The sequence below is a fragment of the Homo sapiens genome, chromosome 21 (assembly GCF_000001405.40).
Source record: "Homo sapiens chromosome 21, GRCh38.p14 Primary Assembly".
NCBI classification, from domain to species: Eukaryota; Metazoa; Chordata; class Mammalia; order Primates; family Hominidae; genus Homo; species Homo sapiens.
The window spans coordinates 25,952,913-25,973,362 of NC_000021.9; the positions used below are offsets into that span (position 1 = coordinate 25,952,913).

Below are 20,450 nucleotides of genomic sequence, written 5' to 3' on the forward strand. Positions count from 1 at the left end.
GTATACCTGAAAAGTATATTTGTTTGCTAAAGAAACTTGATACAGTGAAAAATTAATTGGAGATCTCTGTTCTCAATTCATGGTGTAGACTAAAAACTCCACCTCCACTATCTTCATAAATTCTTGCTCAACACTGAGTTGCTCCTTCTGAACAAAAGCTTGGCACACTATGAAGTTGCTTTTTTTCTCTTCTTTTTTAAATTAGAGAGGGGGTTTCACCATGTTGGCCAGGCTGGTTTCGAACTCCTGGCCTCAGGTGATCTGCTCACCTTGGCCTCCCAAAGTTCTGGGACACTGCACCTCCCTGACATATGAAGTTTCTTCTGCAAGTTATGTAGCTCAAAGTATAATTTCAGATTCCGTCCATTAATGTGCAGTACTGAACAGAACATCATCACTTGACACATGCCAAATATTTCACAGCAATACAAACAATATTTACAAGGCCACATAAATCAGGAAAGAATGAGCAGAATAACACTGGCATAAAATGGGAAAAAGTGAGGGCCAGCTGTTCCCTTGAGCGGTGTTTCAGGCACTTCAAAGTCGGACTTACTGTAATGGGTACATCCATCTACAACATCCTGGGTGCTCTGATTCCAGATGATAACCTGTATCTATTTCCAACCCAATTAACAAAGGGTAGGATTCTTTATGGGGAAGGATATGCCAGATACATATTGCTTATATGTTGGTAGACTACACACTAAATCTCCAGTATAGGTACATATGCTTATATTGAAAGATGCACCAACATAATCGTCATCTATGTACCTTTGTGAAGTAAGTTAAACAGTTATGGGCATTTTGGCAGCTGACAGAGACTCATGTGGTATTTTATTCTCTTTCCAAGAGAAACAGAAATGAGAGATCTTAAATGAAATCATTAGTCATTAGGAAAACTAGGGACATAAAAGACAGTGGGCACACAAGGTCAGTTTCCTGGTTTTGATAATGGACTATAGTTACGTAAGATGTCACTGGTGAGGCATGTGGGTGATGGATGCATGAGACCTCTCTGTACTATTTTTCCAAGTTCTTGTGAGAGTACAATTATTTCAGAATATAAGTTTAATAGCCCACTATCTTTTAAGTTTAAACAATGATGTGGTTCAGAGAACACTCATGGCTTCCCTGCTCAGCCATCAAAGAGAATTGTGACTTACTGAATATAACAATAACCTCAAAGTCACAAGTCACAGTTATGTGTTTTGGCTGTGCTACTTATAATGCATGTGACACAGGCCAGTAAGTTACTCAAATTTTAAGTTTGAGCTTTTTCATTTGTAAGATGGAACAATCGTGACACTCAAAAGATGAAGAATGAGTTTTTTTCCCCATTAATTGTAAAGTACCAAAGCATCATAATTTGAGAGCCATAACAAGATTGGGCAAATTAGAAAAAATGCTGCCACGTATAATTCAATAACAAGTGTCCAATTATTACAAAACTATACCCTAAGTCAGGCGACATTCCTCCAGTCTTACAAGTATGGAGAGGTAAGAACTGATTCAATTGCTAAGGCTAGTAAGCTAGTTCCAGCCTGACAGTTTCATCGTAAAAGGCAAGCTGTTCTATTAACTTCCATATTCCTCAAACAGATAACTCACTTCCTCAATTTTCCTCTGGGGGAAAATACATGTCCATGTGCAGCATCAAAAGAACAGCTTACTTACCAACTTCATCCTGAATCTCCTCGGCCACTGCAGGCACGTTGTAGAGCAGGGAGAGAGACTGATTCATGCGCTCATAAATCACACGGAGGTGTGTCATAACCTGCATCAAAGGATGACAACTCCAGGTCAACAATGTCTGGGGGTAGGAATGGTTCTTTTTCTTTCTTTTTTTCTTTTTTTTTTGAGACGGAGTCTCGCTCTGTCGCCCAGGTTATTTTTCTTACCAAGCACTGCAGGTAGATACAAACTTCCAAAAGAAAACTGACAAAACACTGCTACTGTTAAAAAGGTTGAACTGAAAGGGCAACTTTATTTTTCTTGTTCTCCTATTTCTGTTCTCTAACTTTTTGAGCTCAGGTTTAAGACTTGATCTTGAAACTTACCATTATCTTGTATGCTTATAACAGCCAATTAAAAAGGCTACCTCTGCCACCTCTGATTCCTAATACTGAGGCTCTCTTAACAGGACCCTCATGCCTAAATACATTTCTTTGCAAATTTCCCCCTAGAAAACAACGTATTTCAATTTGATTGGCTATTTCATGCTATATATATTTAACTCTTTCATTCAAGAAAATGTAAAATTTCACATTTCCTAAGGTAGATCCCAGTTTTCAGCCTTTGGGAACCGGGGAGTATAAAATACATTATTACTGGGCTTCATTTAGGCTCACATGAAATCTCAACATTCCAGTAGGTTTATGATTGCCTGCCATACTTCAGTTGAACCAGTTTTCAAGATTTTAGTTTATACAACTTTTGTTTTTCTCATTTTAGTCATTGGTTTTAATCAGTTCCTTAGCAATCAGTTAGCAGTAGACTAAGATTTTTACATTTGTTATTTTCATAACTCAGAAAATGCCAAACCACATATTGCTCTAAGACAAGCTTTTAGAATTTACCAGAAGTTAAAGAGCTCTTGCCATAGGGAAAACACCTATAGGTGCTCGGAGAATGCGTGGGATCCTGTCACCAACCCAAGAAGCAAGAATCCTGGATTGTCAAAGCTGCAGAAGATGATTATACCCCACGCTTACCTGGGACCGGATCTGAGCGGCTTTCTTGGGATCCACCATGCGCACATGCTCGAAATGCTTTAGGGTGTGCTGTCTGTCCTTCTGTTCTGCGCGGACATACTTCTTTAGCATATTGAACACGTGACGAGGCTGTGGGAGGAAAATGAAAAACTCTTTTTCAAGTTTGTGCAAAACACTGCTTCTTCCATTGGCGATGGGTTAGAGGTTCCACTAATGCATCCGGTCATGTGAACGTACTGTGAGTCACCTTTTTGCAGGTCTGCCTTCTAAACATTTCTCCTACTCCTTTCTTAATGGGTAATTACTTAGATCGGCTGCTTTTCACTTCCACAAGAGCATTTAACATTCTCGACATATATGATGACTGTCCTCCTTACTCAACATTTTCTTTTTAAATAGGAGTACTCTGCTATAGAAAGAGAACAGATTTGAGGTCTGTCAGGTTAAGTTAGGTCCTTCTCTTTTCGCACCCAAGGGGCATATGTGAGACTACATTGCTACGTGTACATTTTGAAGACCAGAGGTAATGTCACACAGATAATCCCATCACCAGTAACATGTAACATACGAAATCAAAATGAGAAAAACAGGAAATTTAACCACTATTTTGTAAGCCAAGGAGTAACTGAACTGTAAGAGACATTATATTTTTCTAGGAGAAAGGCCATTGCTAAACTGTATTTATTTTACTCTGAAATTTAATTAAGTTCTTTCTAAGCTATCAGATTCTAATTCTTTCAGCAACAATTACATTTCGTCTTAAGTGCTCCTATTTTCTTTCTAATTGGTTCCATTTCATTTTTATTTTAGTTTTACCTGAAAACATCCATCCTAATAAAAACTAAGGACAAAGATTCCCTGGTCTTCAACAATTTCATCACTATATGCATTCCACTACATGATTTTGTAAGATGATTTCCAAAAACACAACATTTCTTCTTCATTAAAACAAACAAACAAAAAAACCAGTTGTGAAAATTCATGTTGGGAATAGAATTTTGGTCATTTGGGCAAACCTAGCTATTATTAACCCATGTGTCATGAGTACCCTGAAAACCAGTTGGAAGGTACAAAATTTATTCCAGAGATGGTGTGTGTGGTGGTGGGGCGGGTGGTAATGGAGCTTTTGTTGTGTTATCCATATCCTATGGGATGTGCCTCTCCTTCCCCTTTTGCTTAGTTAACTTAGGAGCCATCTCCCTGCCATCTCAGGTGGAACGAGGTACCCTTTTTCTGTGCTCCTATGAAATACTGTGCAAATCCCCATTAATGTACCTAACTCATTAAATTATCTATGATTCTTACTCCCCTCTTTAATGTGAGATCCACAGGGCTGGATTTGGTCTTTTTTCTTTATTTGGAACCCCAATAACACAGTGCTTGACCCAGAGGGTGCTCTGTATTTGCTTGGTGAATGCCTGCCACAGAGGCCATGCTACTGTACTTGAGAAAACAAATACATATACACAATAAAAATAAAACAACTTGGGCTCATCTGCCTTCTTTTTTCCTAAAAGAAATGTGCTTCTCTATAATCCCCAGAAAGACAGCCATCACAGCTTGCAACAGTTCTTGGCAACTTATTACAACTCTCATCTGAACTGTGAAATCTGGTTGAATTTACAAATCAGAGGATGACCTTTTAAATCTCAGAAGAAAAGTAGTAAAAGAGGTAATGACTGATAAGCTATATCTCTATATATTGAAAAGAGGATAGGTTATACATGTGAATTAAAAAAAAAGAACATTTGAAAACATCAGAGATTAAAGGCTGACTCTTGTTGATTGTGAAGGATATTTGATATGCAGAGTTGTGTGATCAGGATCTTGCACAACCACCCTCGATGCTTGCTTGTTATTAAGCACCAAGGTCTTAGAAATCTCTCTAGTTCTGTTACCATTATTCATCCAAGACTGGAGACAGAAGGGGCTGTGACTAATCGCATTTAACCATGATGTTCCTTCCTGGCCTTCATGGATGCTTTCTTAGTTGCTCTATTTCATTTTTCTCCCTTGTAAAGGATTTATTGTTTTGAAGAAAATGGGATGAATTTTTAAGAGTTTAAATAAGAAAAAAAAAAAGCACTTCAATTAAAAAAGTAAGGATTGCTTTGGGAGTCTGAGGCAGGAGGATCACTTGCAGCCAAGAGTTTGAGACCAGCCTGGACAACATTACAAGAACCTGTCTCTACAAGAAAATTTTAAAAATTAGCTAGGTGCAGTGACACATGCCTGCAGTTCCAGCTACTTGGGAAGCTTGGTCAGGAGGATTATTTGAACCCAGGAGGTTGAGGCTGTAGTGAGCCCTGATTGCACGACTGTACTCAAGCCTGGGAAAGAGAATAACTGCCTGTCTTTTAATTAAAAAAAACAAAAAACAAAAAACAAAAACAGTAAGAATTGCTTTTCATCATAACTTCTTTTTTTCCAGTTAGTCATCTATGAATGTTTTTGTAAGATATTTTGTCCTAAAAGGACTGTCACCAACAAGCAGGTACACCAGGATGCCATGGCCCCAGGCTGGCCTTGGCATTACTACTTCAAGCTAAATTTCAATTTAGAGAAGATGCAGGTCATTTCTGATGACCAACATCTGGATCTCCCCTTTTCTTCTCCTATCACAACAAACAGCATATATTCCCACTAATTATTATTATTATTATTCTTTGAGATGGAATCTCGCCCTGTCTCCCAGGCTGGAGTGCAGTGGCGTGATCTTGGCTCACTGCAACCTCCGCCTCCTGGGTTCAAGTGATTCTCCTGCCTCAGTCTCCTGAGTAGCTGGGACTACAGGCACGTGCCACCATGCTCAGCTAATTTTTTTGTATTTTTAGTAGAGACGGGGTTTCGCCATGTTAGCCAGGATGGTCTCCATCTCCTGACCTCGTGATCTGCCCGCCTTGGCCTCCCAAAGTGCTAGGATTACAGGCGTGCGACCAGTGCACGGCCAATTAATTATTCATGTTAACATACATTTAAAAATAAGCACAAAAGCCTTGACTTTTCCCACCTATGCAATTCAGATGGCAGTATCTTTCAGATAGTATTTGCAGATTAAATGTGTTCAGTGATAGTTACCCAGAATGATGCGTAGTCCATTGCTGATACTCAATACACATTTATTTCTTTCACTCAGGCCTTATCTATAAATCATCGACCCCTTTCTTTCCTCTAAGTAATAAGAGTTCAATGTGTATTGACTGCTTCTGAATGAGACAGTATATTAAATGCTTTTTGCTGGTAACTCATCAAATCTTCGTCTCAGCCCTATGACAGAGTCATAGCAGCTCTCCCCACCTTATTGGTGAGGCATGAAGCACAAAGGAGATTGTGGTTACATAGGCTACATCCCTGGCCCAATGGTTACACAGCTAGTTAGTGTTAGATTTGAAGAATGGGTTAGTCTCACTGTCTTGGCTCCAGAGCCTCCTTCTCCTAATCACTTTGTGATCTGGCCCTTCAAGGAGAATCTAAAATAGACCAAGTTTAAGATAGTTCTACAAAGCAACTTACGAAGTTAAAAACAGGCCAGGCGCCGTGGCTCACGCCTGTAATCCCAGCACTTTGGGAGGCCGAGGCGGGCAGGTCACGAGGTCAGGAGTTCCAGACCAGCCTGGCCAACATGGTGAAACCCCATCTCTACTAAAAATACAAAAATTAGCAAGGCATGGTGGTGGGCGCCTGTAGTCCCAGCTACTCGGGAGGCTGAGGCAGGAGAATTGTTTGAACCTGGGAGGCGGAGCTTGCAGTGACCTGAGATTCCACCACTGCACTACAGCCTGGGCGACAGGACGAGACTCCGTCTCAAAAACAAACAAACAAAAACAAAGTTAAAAACAAAGAAATAAGTGCATGGTTAGAAAAGACAGTCTGTTCCAGGAGTACTTGCCTGACTTTCTAGTTTTTACAAGTGCAGGTAATATTCTGTGGGCCATGCTAACATCAGCTCCTTTAATTGTGCAGAAGGTTCAGATTTAGCTTGTTCAGTCTCTCAATTACTGTCCTAGGTTTCTGGAGTTCCATTATTCCTTAGCTAATGCATGAAATTATTTAGCTAATTATTAAGCTAATGTGTGGGGAGAAGAAAGAGCAAGATAGGAATGTCCTCTATCCATGTGGATAAAGGATTAGGATTACTGGAAAGTGATTCAAGGTATTAAAGTTAGGCTTTTGTGACATTCATGGTTTCTAGTGCTAAATTCATCCTTATCTTCTATTGAGATGGGTAATTAAATGGTGAATGTATTCACATGTTTTCAATTGCTGATCTCATTTAATACTGCCATTCTCCTTCAAAATATATTCCTAACTTATCCTGAAAATCCCCAGAGTTTGATAATAATGTTCCCGGACTGAACTGAGGGTTGGGCTACTATACCTCACAGCCCAATAACGAGATGCAGATGAACTGGGAGGAAGAGAGTTTTTATTTTTGTAACCTTTTACAGGGAGATGGCCTGGAAATTAGTGCCAGACCAACTCAAAATTACAAAGTTTCCAGAACTTATATGCCTTCTAAGCTGTATGTCTACGTGTAAGTGTGCATTCATCTCATGACAGAAGTGATTAACTTCTTTAATCCATAACTAAGGTCTGAGTCCTGAAGACCTTCCTCTGGAGTCTCAGTAAATTTACTTAATCTAAATGGGTCTAGGTGCTGGGGTGATTACTCTTATCTTGTCTCCTGCTAAATCAGGGAGGTTTGAGGAGTTCCTGCAGACCTCCAGTAAACTTGTTCTTGGAGGCCTGTAGAGTTTCTTCAGACTCCCAGTAAAACTTGTTAATCCTAAATGGGTCCTGTTAAGAATTCCTTGGTTTTGCCAGGAAAGGCCTAGGCAAAACTCTTGGTGGGCTTTTGTTACATTCCAGCCTCTGTATAAGGGCGCTGGCTTTTTTTTAGCTTTTAGTATTTAACTGAACCACTCAGTCAGTACGGAAACAGCTGTTACGGAGGCCTGCATTAGTGAGATTTGGCCTGCCACAATAACAGAGTAGCAAAGGAGGCTCTGAGGACTCCCCAGGCCTCAGCTCCTCCAGGGATAATGAGACCTGGGAAACCCCTTCACTGTTTATGTAAGCTGAGATGCGCATTTTGTGTGCATCTACATAAACACAAGCCTTTTCTTCCTAATGCCTATTGGATAAGCAAAGCCTGGGAACATCAGATAATTCAGGAAGACCTTAGGATATCTCCCAATAAATGAATTTGCAGGGTTCTGCTTCATTGATTTGGCCACCTAAACACATCTCTAGGAATCATGCTTGGAAATGAAAACAAAATCAGATTACCTTCTTTGTTGGACGGTAGGCAAATAAATCATACCAAATAAAATGGTAGTTATCTCTATCCCTCAGAAACAAATACTATTTTTAGTTAAGAAAGAAAAAACACAGGTGTAAAAAGAAAATAATTCTTGGGGCCCCCAAATCACTAAGCTAAAGGGAAAAGTCTAGCTGGGAACTGCTTAGAGCCAATCACCCTGATTGTCTACCCTGGAGAGGCTAATCAGAAACTCAAAAGAATGCAACTGTTCATCTCACCTATCTCTGACCTAGAAGGCCCCTCCCCACTTCGAGTCTTCCTGCTTTTTGTTTCAAGCTGTCTCGCCTTTCCAGACCAAACCAATGTACTTCTTATATGTATTGACTGATGCCTCATGTCTCCCTAAAAATGCATAACACTAAGCTGTGCCCCAACCACTTTGGGCACATGTCATCAGGACTTCCTGAGGCCGTGTCACAGGTGCATCCTCAACCAGGGCAAAATAAACTTTCTAAATTAACTGAGACCTGTCTCAGATTTGCTGGGTTCACATAGATAACAGTTCCCTATACTTTTATATTTTTGTTGAGGTTAAAAAAAAGACCTCCCTCCTTTTGATATATGATTCCTGCATATTTCACTCAAATAAATAAATAATTGCCCTCACAACTTTTGGCCAAAATACAAATCCTCCAGGCTTAACATTTGTTATTTCTTGAGCTATAATAATGTATCTAAGAATAACAAGGTGTCCTGATTGTCTAGTGAGGTTTATTTTATTATGCTAAGACAAAGATGAATTTCTTAAAATTTTAATTAAAAACACAGAAACCTTCATACAGGAATGGTAGGGAAAAACCCCTCTGTTATCTCTATAGAAACATATTCTCTTAAAGTAATTGCTATTACTATTGTCACAATATTCATACTTAAGACGGGTTATTCATATGATCAGAAAAACAAAAGAATTCAGTGGCTCACGAAAAGGATATTGATAAAGAGAGTTTAAGAAACATTTTTTTTTTTTAACCTGCAGGCATATAATCCGGATCACCCTCATGTCTTTAAATCTTCTGTTACTAGCAATAATTTTTCTGTGTATTAATACTACAGTCTGGTTATATTGGCATTAGATGGCTAATCTCATTATTAAAATATATGGCAAAGAACAGAGGAAGAGATCTGTCCCAGGAGGACTAATTATACCGAATCCTATTTATTGTCACTACTGTTTCTGAAACAGTGTTTAGCTCATAATTATGTGCTGTCTGTTTGCAACTGATGTGACATTTTTTAATTTGTACTAAACTCACCTCACAATCACACTGCCTTTTAAAAAATCATTCAAAATAATTTATTAAAGGATTAAGAACAGGCACCACCGAAATGGCTTAGACATCATTTACAGCAAGAGGAAAGAGAAACATAAGATTTACATTTTAGAACATTACTCATTTTCCTCTCTGGAAACAAGAGCGTAATGTATTTCTACCTCTAGGCACAGTTCCTGCCACAATTTGGTTGCTAATAAATATTTGTTAATTAAATTAATGAGTAACTTGCAGCTAGATACAATTTCAGAAATAGGCCCAGTAGTGCAGAATATCCTTCATAGTCTTCAAGTAGAAAACAAACACCTCTCTACTCAGAATAGTGGCCTTCCCAATTTTCACCGAAATACTGACATTAATAAACCTACTTGATGTATCTATATAGTGTGCTTGGGTACTTTAGAAAGTAGTTTTAACTGGGAACTCTTCCCAGAAAATATTTAATGGACTTCATAGCGTGCACAAACTCGTCTCAAAGAGAAGATTCATTTCATTAATTTCAAAACATCTCACATATTGTGTTCTTATAGTTTGATGTCAAATTGATGTAGGTAATATTGAAGAAAATTTAATGGCCTTTCCTGATAAAAGCTAACACGGTTTTGGAGATGGAGTCTCACTCTGTCGCCCAGGCTGGAGTGCAGTGGTGCACCTCCACCTCAACTCACTGCAACCTCCACCTCCTGGGTTCAAGCAATTCTCTTGCCCCAGCCTCTTGAGTTCAGCTGGGATTACAGGCGTGCACCCTCACACCGACCTAATTTTTGTATTTTTAGTAGAGAAGGGTTTCACTATGTTGGATAGGCTGGTCTCAAACTCCTGACCTCAGGTGATCCACCTGCCTCGGCCTCCCAAAGTGCTGGGATTACAGGCGTGAGCCACCGCCCCTGGTGCTAGTACATTTTTTATTGATTTCCCCATTTCTTAGACGTATTTACTTTTTCATTTTTCTTTTATACGATTTCTCAAATTTGGTGTTGCTGGGACTTGGGAAAAGTCTCATACATTTGACTAATGGCAGGATGACTCAATGCCAGTCACGTCTGAATATGTAGCTTATTACTTGACAGTTCACGTGGGAAGTGTATTAAAATTATTAAGTCCTATTGTCCCACTCCACAGCTTTATGCTTGATCTAGAAATCTGGCATCTTATCATAATAGACACTTGTGCCCTAAACCCGTTTCTTATGGAAGGCAGTGAAGTGTCAAGAGCGTTTAAAAGCCCTGGGCATAATCCTGCCAAGAAGGAAGTAAATGACTCACTGTACGGGAATCACCCCAACCTTTCCAGGTCACAGAAAACCCTCTCCTGGAGCATTAAATTGCACCCTGGTGGTTTCCAAAACTGAACAAAGCAATTCTCTCCTGCTTTCATAAATAGGTTCAGAACTATTATTTTCACAGTTTTACACCCTGGATTTCAAGAAATCTTGAGCATATAAAATGTAGAAAATTTCCGTGTGCAGGTTTAAAAATCACACTTTAGAGAGTTAAGTCTCTCTGTGCTTGAGATGATCTTAGTTAAACGTAATATTTGGGGAAACTGCCATGGGGACCTCTGAATCACCACCTTTATTGTCTTTAATGCCAGGAGTTGAGCTGAATTTTTAAAGTCTCCTGCAAAATTTATCCACCTTCCTTTCTTCAGAAAGGCAAACAAATGATCTTTGTAGTTTAAGGTGAGTATAAAAGGGCAAATGATAATCCCATGCCAAGGTGGACACAGAAGTCTTGAATGAAGCAATGGAGAAAATGGCAGTAGATTCTCACACTCTCCCCCTTTGGTGTTTCTTAAGTTTTAACAATATGGATCCATTAGATGGAAGGATATTGAACAACTAATCTCTATTAATCCACTTAGTTCATAAGGCCAGAGCAAAACTTTTGTTTATGGCCAAGGAGTTATCCCAATGTTCCTTCCCAGGGTATCCGGTTTGCTGATGCGGCTCTGATTTTGTACTGAACATGACGCAGGAGCATCTAGGAGTCATCTATCATCTGTTCTCTCCTTCCCGTGGAAGCAGATCACTTCCTCATAGGGATGTGTCACCAAAGCCTCCATGTACTTCCTCTAACAATCTTTCTCCTCTTACGGAGGAAGACATCTTCCTACTTCACAATTTTGTCTCAACTTTCAATGAATCCTTTTGATTTTCTAATTATGGCTAACAAAAGCTAAAACAACAGAAATTGCAGAAAGAGGAGAAAAATTAACTCCAATTTGCAGACGGAATAGGAGGAATCCCTTTATTAAATCACTTGCTCCTAGTTACAGGTTATAAAGATGGCAAACCTGGGAAGTAAAGACAAGAGTTTATGTTATAAAAGGTAGAAAATAGGAGTGGTTTTAATTCTCTCATCACTTAGTGACCTTTTTTCTTTTCTTTTTTTTTTTTTTTTTTCTGAGACGGAGTTTCACTCTTGTTATACAGGCTGGAGTACAATGGGGTGATCTCCCCTCACTGCAACCCGGGTTCAAGCGATTCTCCTGCCTCAGCCTCCCGAGTAGCTGGGATTACAGGCATGCGCCACCATGCCCAGCTAATTTTGTATTTTTAGTAGAGACAGGGTTTCTCCATGTTGGTCCGGCTGGTCTTGAACTCCCGACCTCAGGTGATCCACCCGCCTTGGCCTCCCAAAGTGCTGGGATTACAGGCATGAGCCACCACGCCTGGCTGACCTTTTTACAAATCTGGTAGGTTTCATAAATTTTTTCCAGGGTATTTTGCTAGTTCTCAGAAATAATTTATTTTGGTTGTTCAGACCACAGTCATAAATTAGTGAAGGCAGCATATAGAACTGAAATTTAGCACCCAACACAACCCCATGATTCATGCTTTCAGACAAACTCTAGCACAGAATGGATAAAGAGCTAAGATCTTCTGACCTGGGAATACAGAAAGGACAGAAAATGTTTGGACTTGTATGTCTTCAAGCTTTGTTTAGTCAAACAGTGAAACATGTGTACACTTAATGATGAACAGAATTAGTAATACAACCCAGAAGGCAAAGCGCACAGTGTTGCTGAAATCATAAGCAAAAGATATGTTCGACTAACTCGGACCCTTGCAGAGATTTGTCAAACGGTCTGATCATCCGAAAAATGCCAACTGTGACATATTCTTGACTTTTTAAGAGAGATTTACAGCAATCTGCTTTAATTTTGCATATTCATACTTGGACTATGGTGGTCCTGCTTCATACATCCTCTAACTGGTTAGCCTATTCAAAGAAAAGTACATTTGCATTTCTTTTAATTTTACCCTCTCCTCTTCCCATACCTAGGCAGTGTTATGACCTATTAGAAATTCTGAGTTTTTTGTTGATATTAAAACATTTATATAAGGAAACTCAAGGTGATGATACTTAAAAGCCAAACATCACCTGGCATCTTTAAACTGGTATCCATGGTCAACCTTCACAAAATGAATGAACCCCTTAAAGCTTATGCGAGATTGTGTTTGCGTGTGTATGCGTACATGTTTCCAGGGTGAGGATTCTTTGCTACCCATCTGTTCTCTATCAGTCATACCAGGCAGGTGAATAACTACTGGATCTTTAAATGTGCTATTTGTCTACAAAAACTAAATATTTATATTTTCATAATACATTTTCATTCTCAAAGATAAAATGAACATATATATTAACATTAAAATACGTAGGTTTGCTGGAAGAAAGCAGAGCGTAAAACCATACGGTGCTATGGGTTTTAATAGCATCCTGTGAAGACCTATTTGCATTCTGAAGGCAGTGACTGAGCAGTGCTCCACTGTGGAGGGAATCTGGGTGATGAATATGGCCTCAGTGGCAAAAGACAGCTTTTAAGCTAATGCCTTCCCAACATACTTCTTAATGTTCTATGTAACTTAATTAAACCCAGAAACCACTAGTATCTCTTGTTACATACTTCCCATTTGTATGTAGCAAGATTTTATCGAACTTGGTAAACATTCAGAAGGTAGGGAAGTAATAGTACTGAGTGGCTTTACTGAAAGAGCATGTATACCATTCAGCATAGTTTATAAGATTTTGTTCACTAAATGCTAATTCTCTCATTTTCCTTCCCATTCACTATCTGTTATTGGGTTTGCCCTTAGGAGTGCCCAAGCTAATGAGTCCCCCTTTGCTCACCAATGTATACAGAACTCAACTAAAAATAAACGGATGGTGAACAAATAAATAATAAATATGTAAGTATAGAGCAATTATTTACTTTTCTGAAAGATGATCTTTTTGGCCTGGCAGTCTTTCAACTTTTAATTCCATTCTGATTAGCTTCATAAAATTTTGGTTAAATTCAAAACCTGCTGGTGGAATGCCTTAAACATTATAATATTCATCTGTCCACATACCAAGAACTCAGCAAATAATTTTTAACTTACTATCAGTTACATTGAGGTACAGATGTCCCATATTTGCTTTGGAGATATATGCTATATACATATATTTTATAAGATAATTTCTTTTGCAACGAAAAGTGATGGGTAGAAATAATTGGTTTGTTGGGTGAAGGGCAATTAGCGGTATCATATAAAAGCTCAAGTTTAGTACCACAATTTCTTTTTTGCTTTAGAAAAGAAAGGTACACCAACACCCACATTGGTTAAAGTTTGGTTTAGTTGTAATCCACATCATATAGTGGCGAAAAATTTATTTATGAGGTGGTTTAAACCTTCTCATGCCATCACCTGTTTACCTGTGACAAACCTCCCATTAATGTCTACCCTTGTTATCTCCAATGACGGCTGTTTCTTGTTGAACATTTATTGCTCTTCTGCTGGAATTTACCAAATAGCCTTGAGCAAAATCTCAACTTAGTGATGAAACCGTGCTCTTTAATGAAGAGTCTCACAGAATTCATGTTCTATCAAAGAATTATGTGAAGAAGTTTCCAGAGATCTCAGCAAAATTTAACATGTGGCTGAACCATTCAAAAATGAGAAACCAAAGAAGGATGCCGATGCTATAGAAACTGCCAACATTTTTTTTTTGCTCAATTAAACTGATAGCCTGAATGTGAAGCAGCAGATAGAAGCATGAAATGAATTTCAGTATGGATAAGATGGTTTCAATCGTTAAGACACTGAAAAAATCCAAACAACACAACTGGGATAGATAAACAGATGTACAGGAAAATGTTTCCTAATTCTCACTTCCCTTTAGAAAATGCAGTTGTTGAAGTCAGAATAATAATCATGATAACTGTCTGATGAAAGATTTAGACTAAGTATCTGTAAAAACACCAAAAATCTCAGAATTACAAAGAAAGCTTTGGCTGTGTATCCCTTATCTTTAAAACAGTTCAAGTCTTACAAATTAGGGGGTGCTAAGGTTTTCCAAACCTAGGCCTACAATAGAAAGTTGATTGAAATAAAAAATCCCTATCTGGCCTTTGGTTTAACTGTACAGGATCACATTAAGTCTAATTTCTCTTCAACAGTCAGGACATATCATCATCTTCTGTCTATGAAGGATAAGCAGAACGCTGAGAGTTACAAGGGGAAAGGCTCAGACAGCATTTAGTTCCTGTTTCATGAAGCTATGAATAGTTTGAGTACGAGCCCTGACAAAGTAAAAAGCAGGAAGTGCATGACTGTAGAGGGCAGGTTAAGAAATGATGAATGCTTAGCTTTAAGTATTTAATCTGGTAGCTTGCAGGCCTCCAAAGGTGGTAGAAGTTAACCTCCTGTGCTGCAGTTCTGGAGAGGCATTTAATTCTTCCAGGGGGAAAAAGTGCTAACTCCTTGATTTTCCAAAGAAAGTCTAAGGAAAGTAAAAAGGTGAAGGGGTTGGTGTTTAGAAGAGTCACTAGCCTTCAACAGAGTAAGAGTTTTTTCTGAGTGCAAAGACACAGCTCTGCTCAACTTTTTTTTCCCATGGGGAAAACAACTATTTTAATAATTGTAATATTTCAAGTATTTATCTCATTTTTTAACTTTTAATTTTGGAACAGCGTCTTGCTTTGTCATCCAGGCTGGAGTGCAGTGGCACCATCACAGCTCACTGCAGCCTTGACTTCCTGGTTCACACTCACACCTCAGCCTCCAGAGTAGCTGCGACTACAGGCGCGCACCATCATGCCTGGCTAATTAAAAAAATCTTTTTTTTTTTTTTTTTTTGTAGAGATAGGGCCTTTCTATGTTGCCTAGGGTGGTCTCAAATTCCTGGGCTCAAGGGATCCTCCCACCTCAGCCTCCCAAAATGCTGGGATTACAGCTGTGAGCCACCACATCTAGCCTAAAGTATTTATTTTAAATACATGTGCCTATATATGTATGACTCTAAATATGAGTCAAACAATGCATTTTTAGGTTGACCATTCAGTGTATTTGCCTATAGGTACATAACTAAATCAGAAATTTGAAACATACAGTATACTCAGACACAGGGACTCAGGAAATGAAATTCATTAGTAGAACAAGGAATTCTAGCTGCACAAAAACAACATCTCATAACACTTCCACGTTTAGGTTTAAAAACTGAGTAAAAGTATGATTTAAATCTGAGCTTCAAAGAAACTGAAAACAATCCACATTGTTTTGGAATCCCGTGTTTGCAAAGTCTGAGAATATACGGTAGAATTTGTTAAGGGTTAGACAGGTAATTATTCTAAGTGGTAACATCTACAGAATCTATGGAAACGACACTTTTGATTTACTTATATTCAAATACCATTTACTGAATACAGTTGTCTGCATTTTCCAGGCACGGTGGTTAAGTATGAGGGAGATCTCAGAAATATTTATGTATGACTCCTATTACAAGATGTGATCTTTTTCAGACAACCACCAGTAAGCTCTGGATTTATGTCTTCAAGAGGAAGGTATAAAAGTCCTCAAGAAGGCATTTAATTACGCCTGCAATCTCAGCACTTTGGGAGGCGGAGGCTGGCGGATCACGAGGTCAGGAGATCCAGACCAACCTGGCTAACACGGTGAAAGCCCGTCTCTACTAAAAATACAAAAAAAAAAAAACATTAGCCAGGCATGGTGGCGGGTGCCTGTAGTCCCAGCTACTTGAGAGGCTGAGGCTGGAGAATGGTGTGAACCCAGAAGGCGGAGCTTGCAGTGAGCCAAGATCACGCCACTGCACTCCAGCCTGGGCGACAAAGCAAGACTCTGTCTCAAAAAAAAAAAAAAAAAAAAAAAAAAGAAGGTATTTACAATTTTCTTGTGCCTGCCAAAGTGCAGACCTAAGTGCCAGGTCAAGCCATACAACATTAAAACTTAAATGAACACCTAAAGATGGTAACTTAACAAAAATGGCAAGTAATGCCCCCTAGACTCCAGGCCTGTGACCACCCAGCCACATTTTATTACAAAGGAAAGATTTAAAGGTGAGTCATGGTGGCTCATGCCTGTAATATCAGCACTTTAAAAAGCCGAGGTGAAAGGATCGCTTGAGGCCAGAAGTTCAAGACTAGCCTGGGTAACACAGCGAGACCCTGTCTTTACAAAAATTTTTTAAAAATTAGCCACACATGGTGGAGCTTCTGTAGACCCAACTCTCATGAGGCTGAGGCAAAAGGATTGCTTGAGCCCAGGAGGTTGGGGCTGCAGTGAGCTACGACTGGACCACTGCATGCCAGCCTGGGTGAAAGAGCAAGACCCTGAAAAGAAAAGAAAAGAAAACAAAAGAAAAGAAAAGAAAAGAGAAAAGAAAAGAGAAGATTAGAGAAGAGAAGAGGGGAGGGGAAGAGAAAAGGAAAGGAAAGGAAAGGAAGGGAAGAAGGAAGGAGGGAGGGAGGGAAGGAAGGAAGGCAGGAGAGAAAGAGAAACAGAGAAAGAGAGAGAGAGAGAGAAAATAAATAAATAAATAAATAAATCCGAGTTAAGAATTTAACAGGAATCCTTAGATCAATCAACAACAGTGATCTGATTTTTGACAGTAAAATATTTCTTCCTAATCCAGTTTTTAATTTTTTTTTCAAATGAACATGTTGCCTAATTCCATATGAAGCAATGCGGAGGCCCACAATAAGCACGATTACAACCACTCTAAAATTATCCCCTTTGATAAAAGATGACACTTCGGCAAACATTCTTGCCACTGCCTTTCCTGTGATGGCTGATGAGACTAAACTGAGAGTTTAAATGTACATTTGTTAAAGCCTCCATTCAGCCCTCAGCTTATTTTTAGTCCCATCAATGTCCATTTAGCAAAGATCTTACTTTAGAGATTGGACTTTCAGCTGGAACGCTTCACAAGTTTCTGCTATAAAGATTCTGGTCTCAGCACCCACCAGCCTATCCTTCTCTGGCAAATGATCACACGGCTCCTCTCCTGAAAGCGTGTTCTCCAAAAAAGAGAGGAACCAAGGAACTTTTGTTCTGCAGAGATATAAAAAAAAATTTCCTGACAAGTGCCTTGCTAAGATAGAGAATTTTGGCAAATAGAAAATGAAAACGCTAATATGAATATTCTTTTTCAAAAGCTCTTTGTTTAGAGAGGAAGCTCGTTCTAGTGAGAAGGCACCACAGTGACTCGCGGCTCTACCCTCTCCCTTCCCAGCAGTGTCACCCTGAACCAGCCGCTCCATCTCCCGAGGTTGCAGTGATATCATCGGTAGAACAGGGTAAATAGTATCTTACGTCTTGGAAGAATGCCACGAGCTCTTTAACGGCTCCTCATGGCTTTCTGTGCACTGTAACTTTATCCATAGAAAGAAAAATCAAAATGGTGAGGAAAATCGGTGCAAATGGGTGACTTTCTGGTTAAGTTGCATAAAATGCACAAACAATTCCAGCCAAGATTGAGTGAGAAGAACTGGATTTACCCTCCTGCCTGAACCACCAATAACTGGACAATATATTCATATACAAACAGCGTTTCTTTTTTTTTTTTGAGATGGAGTCTTGCTCTGTCACCACACTGGAGTGCAGTGGCACAATCTCGGCTCACTGCAACCTCTGCCTCCCAGGTTCAGGTGATTCTCCTGCCTCAGCCTCCTGAGTAGCTGGGACTACAGGTGTGCGCCACCACACCTGGCTAATTTTTTGTATTTTTAGTAGAGACGGGGTTCACCATGTTGGCCAGGATGGTCTTGATCTCTTGACCTCGTGATCCGCCCGCCTTGGCCTCCCAAAGTGCTGGGATTACAGGCGTGAGCCACCACACCTGGCATAAACAACATTTCTGCAAGACATTAGACATCAGGTGAAGGACACTGATTCCTGAAAAGGGGAAACAAATGAGGACTTACAGCTGCCAAACTCATGGCCCTGAATTTCCAGGTCATGGTTTCAGGTGGGGAAACCCACACAGAGCCTAGAGGACTCGTGGAGTGGAGGACATGAAGTGTGTGGAGAGATCAAGGTAGTTGTAATTCACAGGACAGGGTATTGGTGAGGAGAGAGTTGCTCCAAAAGAGAATCCAGAGATGTGCAGAGTGATCCCTGAGAATATAGCTGAGTAATGATGGGTACATGCATGTGAAAGAAACTGAAGCCAGGGGGAAAATCACCAAAAAGAATTAGCATTAACAGTGCTTGGTGTTCACACAGGGACAGGAATAATGCCTCTTCCCACGAGTCAGGTGAGAAAACTTAACATTCATGGTAGATGACTGAGAAGGGTCTTGCCTCACTAGTAAGGAATAACTAGTCCTAGGCTGATAACTGCTTCTATCCCACCTAACAAATCTAAAAATGCAAAGCTCAAAAGGATCAAACTGTTTCCAAGTAACTCAACTATGTGACAGAAAAAAGCTCAAGAATATTACAAAAACACCTAGCATTCAACAGGTTTAAATTCAGCGTCCGACATTTAATAAAAAATTATGAGGCATAAAATGATACAGGGAAATGCCACATGTAATAATAAGCAATCAAAATTGATTCAAAGTTGACAGAGATGTTAGAATTAGCAAACATGGATATTTAAACAGTTTTCATATAATAACTGTATTCCATAGGTTCAAAAGTTAAGATACAGACGATATTATGGGTGTTGGGGGTAGCCCAGGTTAAATTTCTATATACAACAACTACAGTATGTGAGGTGATAAGATGAAAAACGGCCAGATGGAATTAAGGGCAGACTGAATGATACCATGGCATATCAAAATTAAATTGTTAAAAACCAGTGATATAGAGAAAACTGTAAAAACAGAAAAAAAAGACATGTTATTTTTAGAGAAATAAAGATAAAGATATCAACACAAATAAGACAGCAGAGTATCATCTTTCAGGCAGTGAAAGAGAAACCTCAATCCAGTATTTTTTACCCAGCAAAAATATTTTTCAAAACCAAAGGTATAAAAGGGACATTTTTGGTCAAAGCCAAACAAAGATTTCATCACCAACTTATGTGCACTCAAACTTTTTTTTTTAAAGAGACAGGATGCCCTTTGTCACCCAGATGGGAGTACAGTCATGCAATCACAGCTCACTGCAGTCTCGAACTCCTGGGTTCAAGTGATCTCCTATCTCAACCTCCTGAGTTGCTGGGATTGCAGGTACAAGCCACCAAGCCCAGTCTCTAAGACATTTTAAAGGAAATCTCTCAGGCAGAAGGAAAATGATACCAGCTGGATCTGCGCAAAGAGTTTACAGCACCCAAAATGATGACTTCATGGGTAAACATGTTGTTTTTTTTTTAAATTTACAACTCATTAAAAAATAACTGTTTAAAGAAAAACATCAACAATGTAGTAAGGAAAAAGTATGACAACAACCGCTTACAGAGAGAGAGAGAGATGAAAAATGGAAGTACTTTTGTAAAGTACTGTCTGTGGAGTGGTATAATATCATTTGAACTGACATAACATCATCGTGACAAGTTTAGAATGTTTTCTATAAGCCTAAAGCAACCAGTAAAATAACAAACTAGTTATAACTTATAAACCCACAAAGGAGATAAACCAGTAAAATAACAAACTAGTTGTAACTTACAAACCAACAAAAGAGATAAAATAGAATCATAAAAAATTTCTAATTAATCCAAAAAAAAAAGAGGAAAAAAGAAGAACAAGGAACAGACTGGACAAATAGCAAACAAATATCAAGATGACAGATTCAGTGACAACCATATCCATAACCTCATTCAGTGTACATGGTCTTCCCAATCCAAAGGAAAACGCAAGACCCAATTACATGCTGCCTACAAAAAATACACTTCAAATATAAAGACAAACAAGGTC

The 20,450-nt window shown here is 39.1% G+C and overlaps 1 protein-coding gene across 11 annotated transcripts in view, besides 3 other annotated features; it reads right to left on the reverse strand.

The window, feature by feature from the left end:
* Window positions 1–20,450, reverse strand: part of APP (amyloid beta precursor protein) — a 290,579-nt gene that overhangs the window by 72,363 nt on the left and 197,766 nt on the right. For all 11 annotated transcript variants that reach the window (NM_001136131.3, NM_001136129.3, NM_001136130.3 and 8 more), the window contains 2 exons: window positions 2,715–2,843; window positions 1,678–1,777 (listed from right to left, as the gene is read on the reverse strand). In NM_001136131.3, coding sequence (NP_001129603.1) covers window positions 1,678–1,777; window positions 2,715–2,843 — 229 coding nt within the window. The remainder of the gene's footprint in view (window positions 1–1,677; window positions 1,778–2,714; window positions 2,844–20,450) is intronic.
* Window positions 1,752–2,951: an enhancer, noted in NCBI's record as "CDK7 strongly-dependent group 2 enhancer chr21:27326978-27328177 (GRCh37/hg19 assembly coordinates)". NCBI's record gives its function as "activates an origin of replication core promoter dependent on BRD2, BRD4, P300/CBP, MED14 and CDK7 cofactors, with strong dependence on CDK7, by STARR-seq in HCT116 cells {active_cell/tissue: HCT116}" and the evidence as "EXISTENCE:reporter gene assay evidence [ECO:0000049][PMID:35650434]".
* Window positions 7,806–8,501: an enhancer, noted in NCBI's record as "OCT4-NANOG-H3K27ac hESC enhancer chr21:27333032-27333727 (GRCh37/hg19 assembly coordinates)". NCBI's record gives its function as "activates a minimal SCP1, AML or CMV promoter by ChIP-STARR-seq in primed H9 embryonic stem cells {active_cell/tissue: H9 hESC(primed)}" and the evidence as "EXISTENCE:reporter gene assay evidence [ECO:0000049][PMID:30033119]".
* Window positions 15,068–15,177: an enhancer, noted in NCBI's record as "active region_18320". NCBI's record gives its function as "activates an Ori minimal core promoter by ATAC-STARR-seq in GM12878 lymphoblastoid cells {active_cell/tissue: GM12878}" and the evidence as "EXISTENCE:reporter gene assay evidence [ECO:0000049][PMID:35858748]".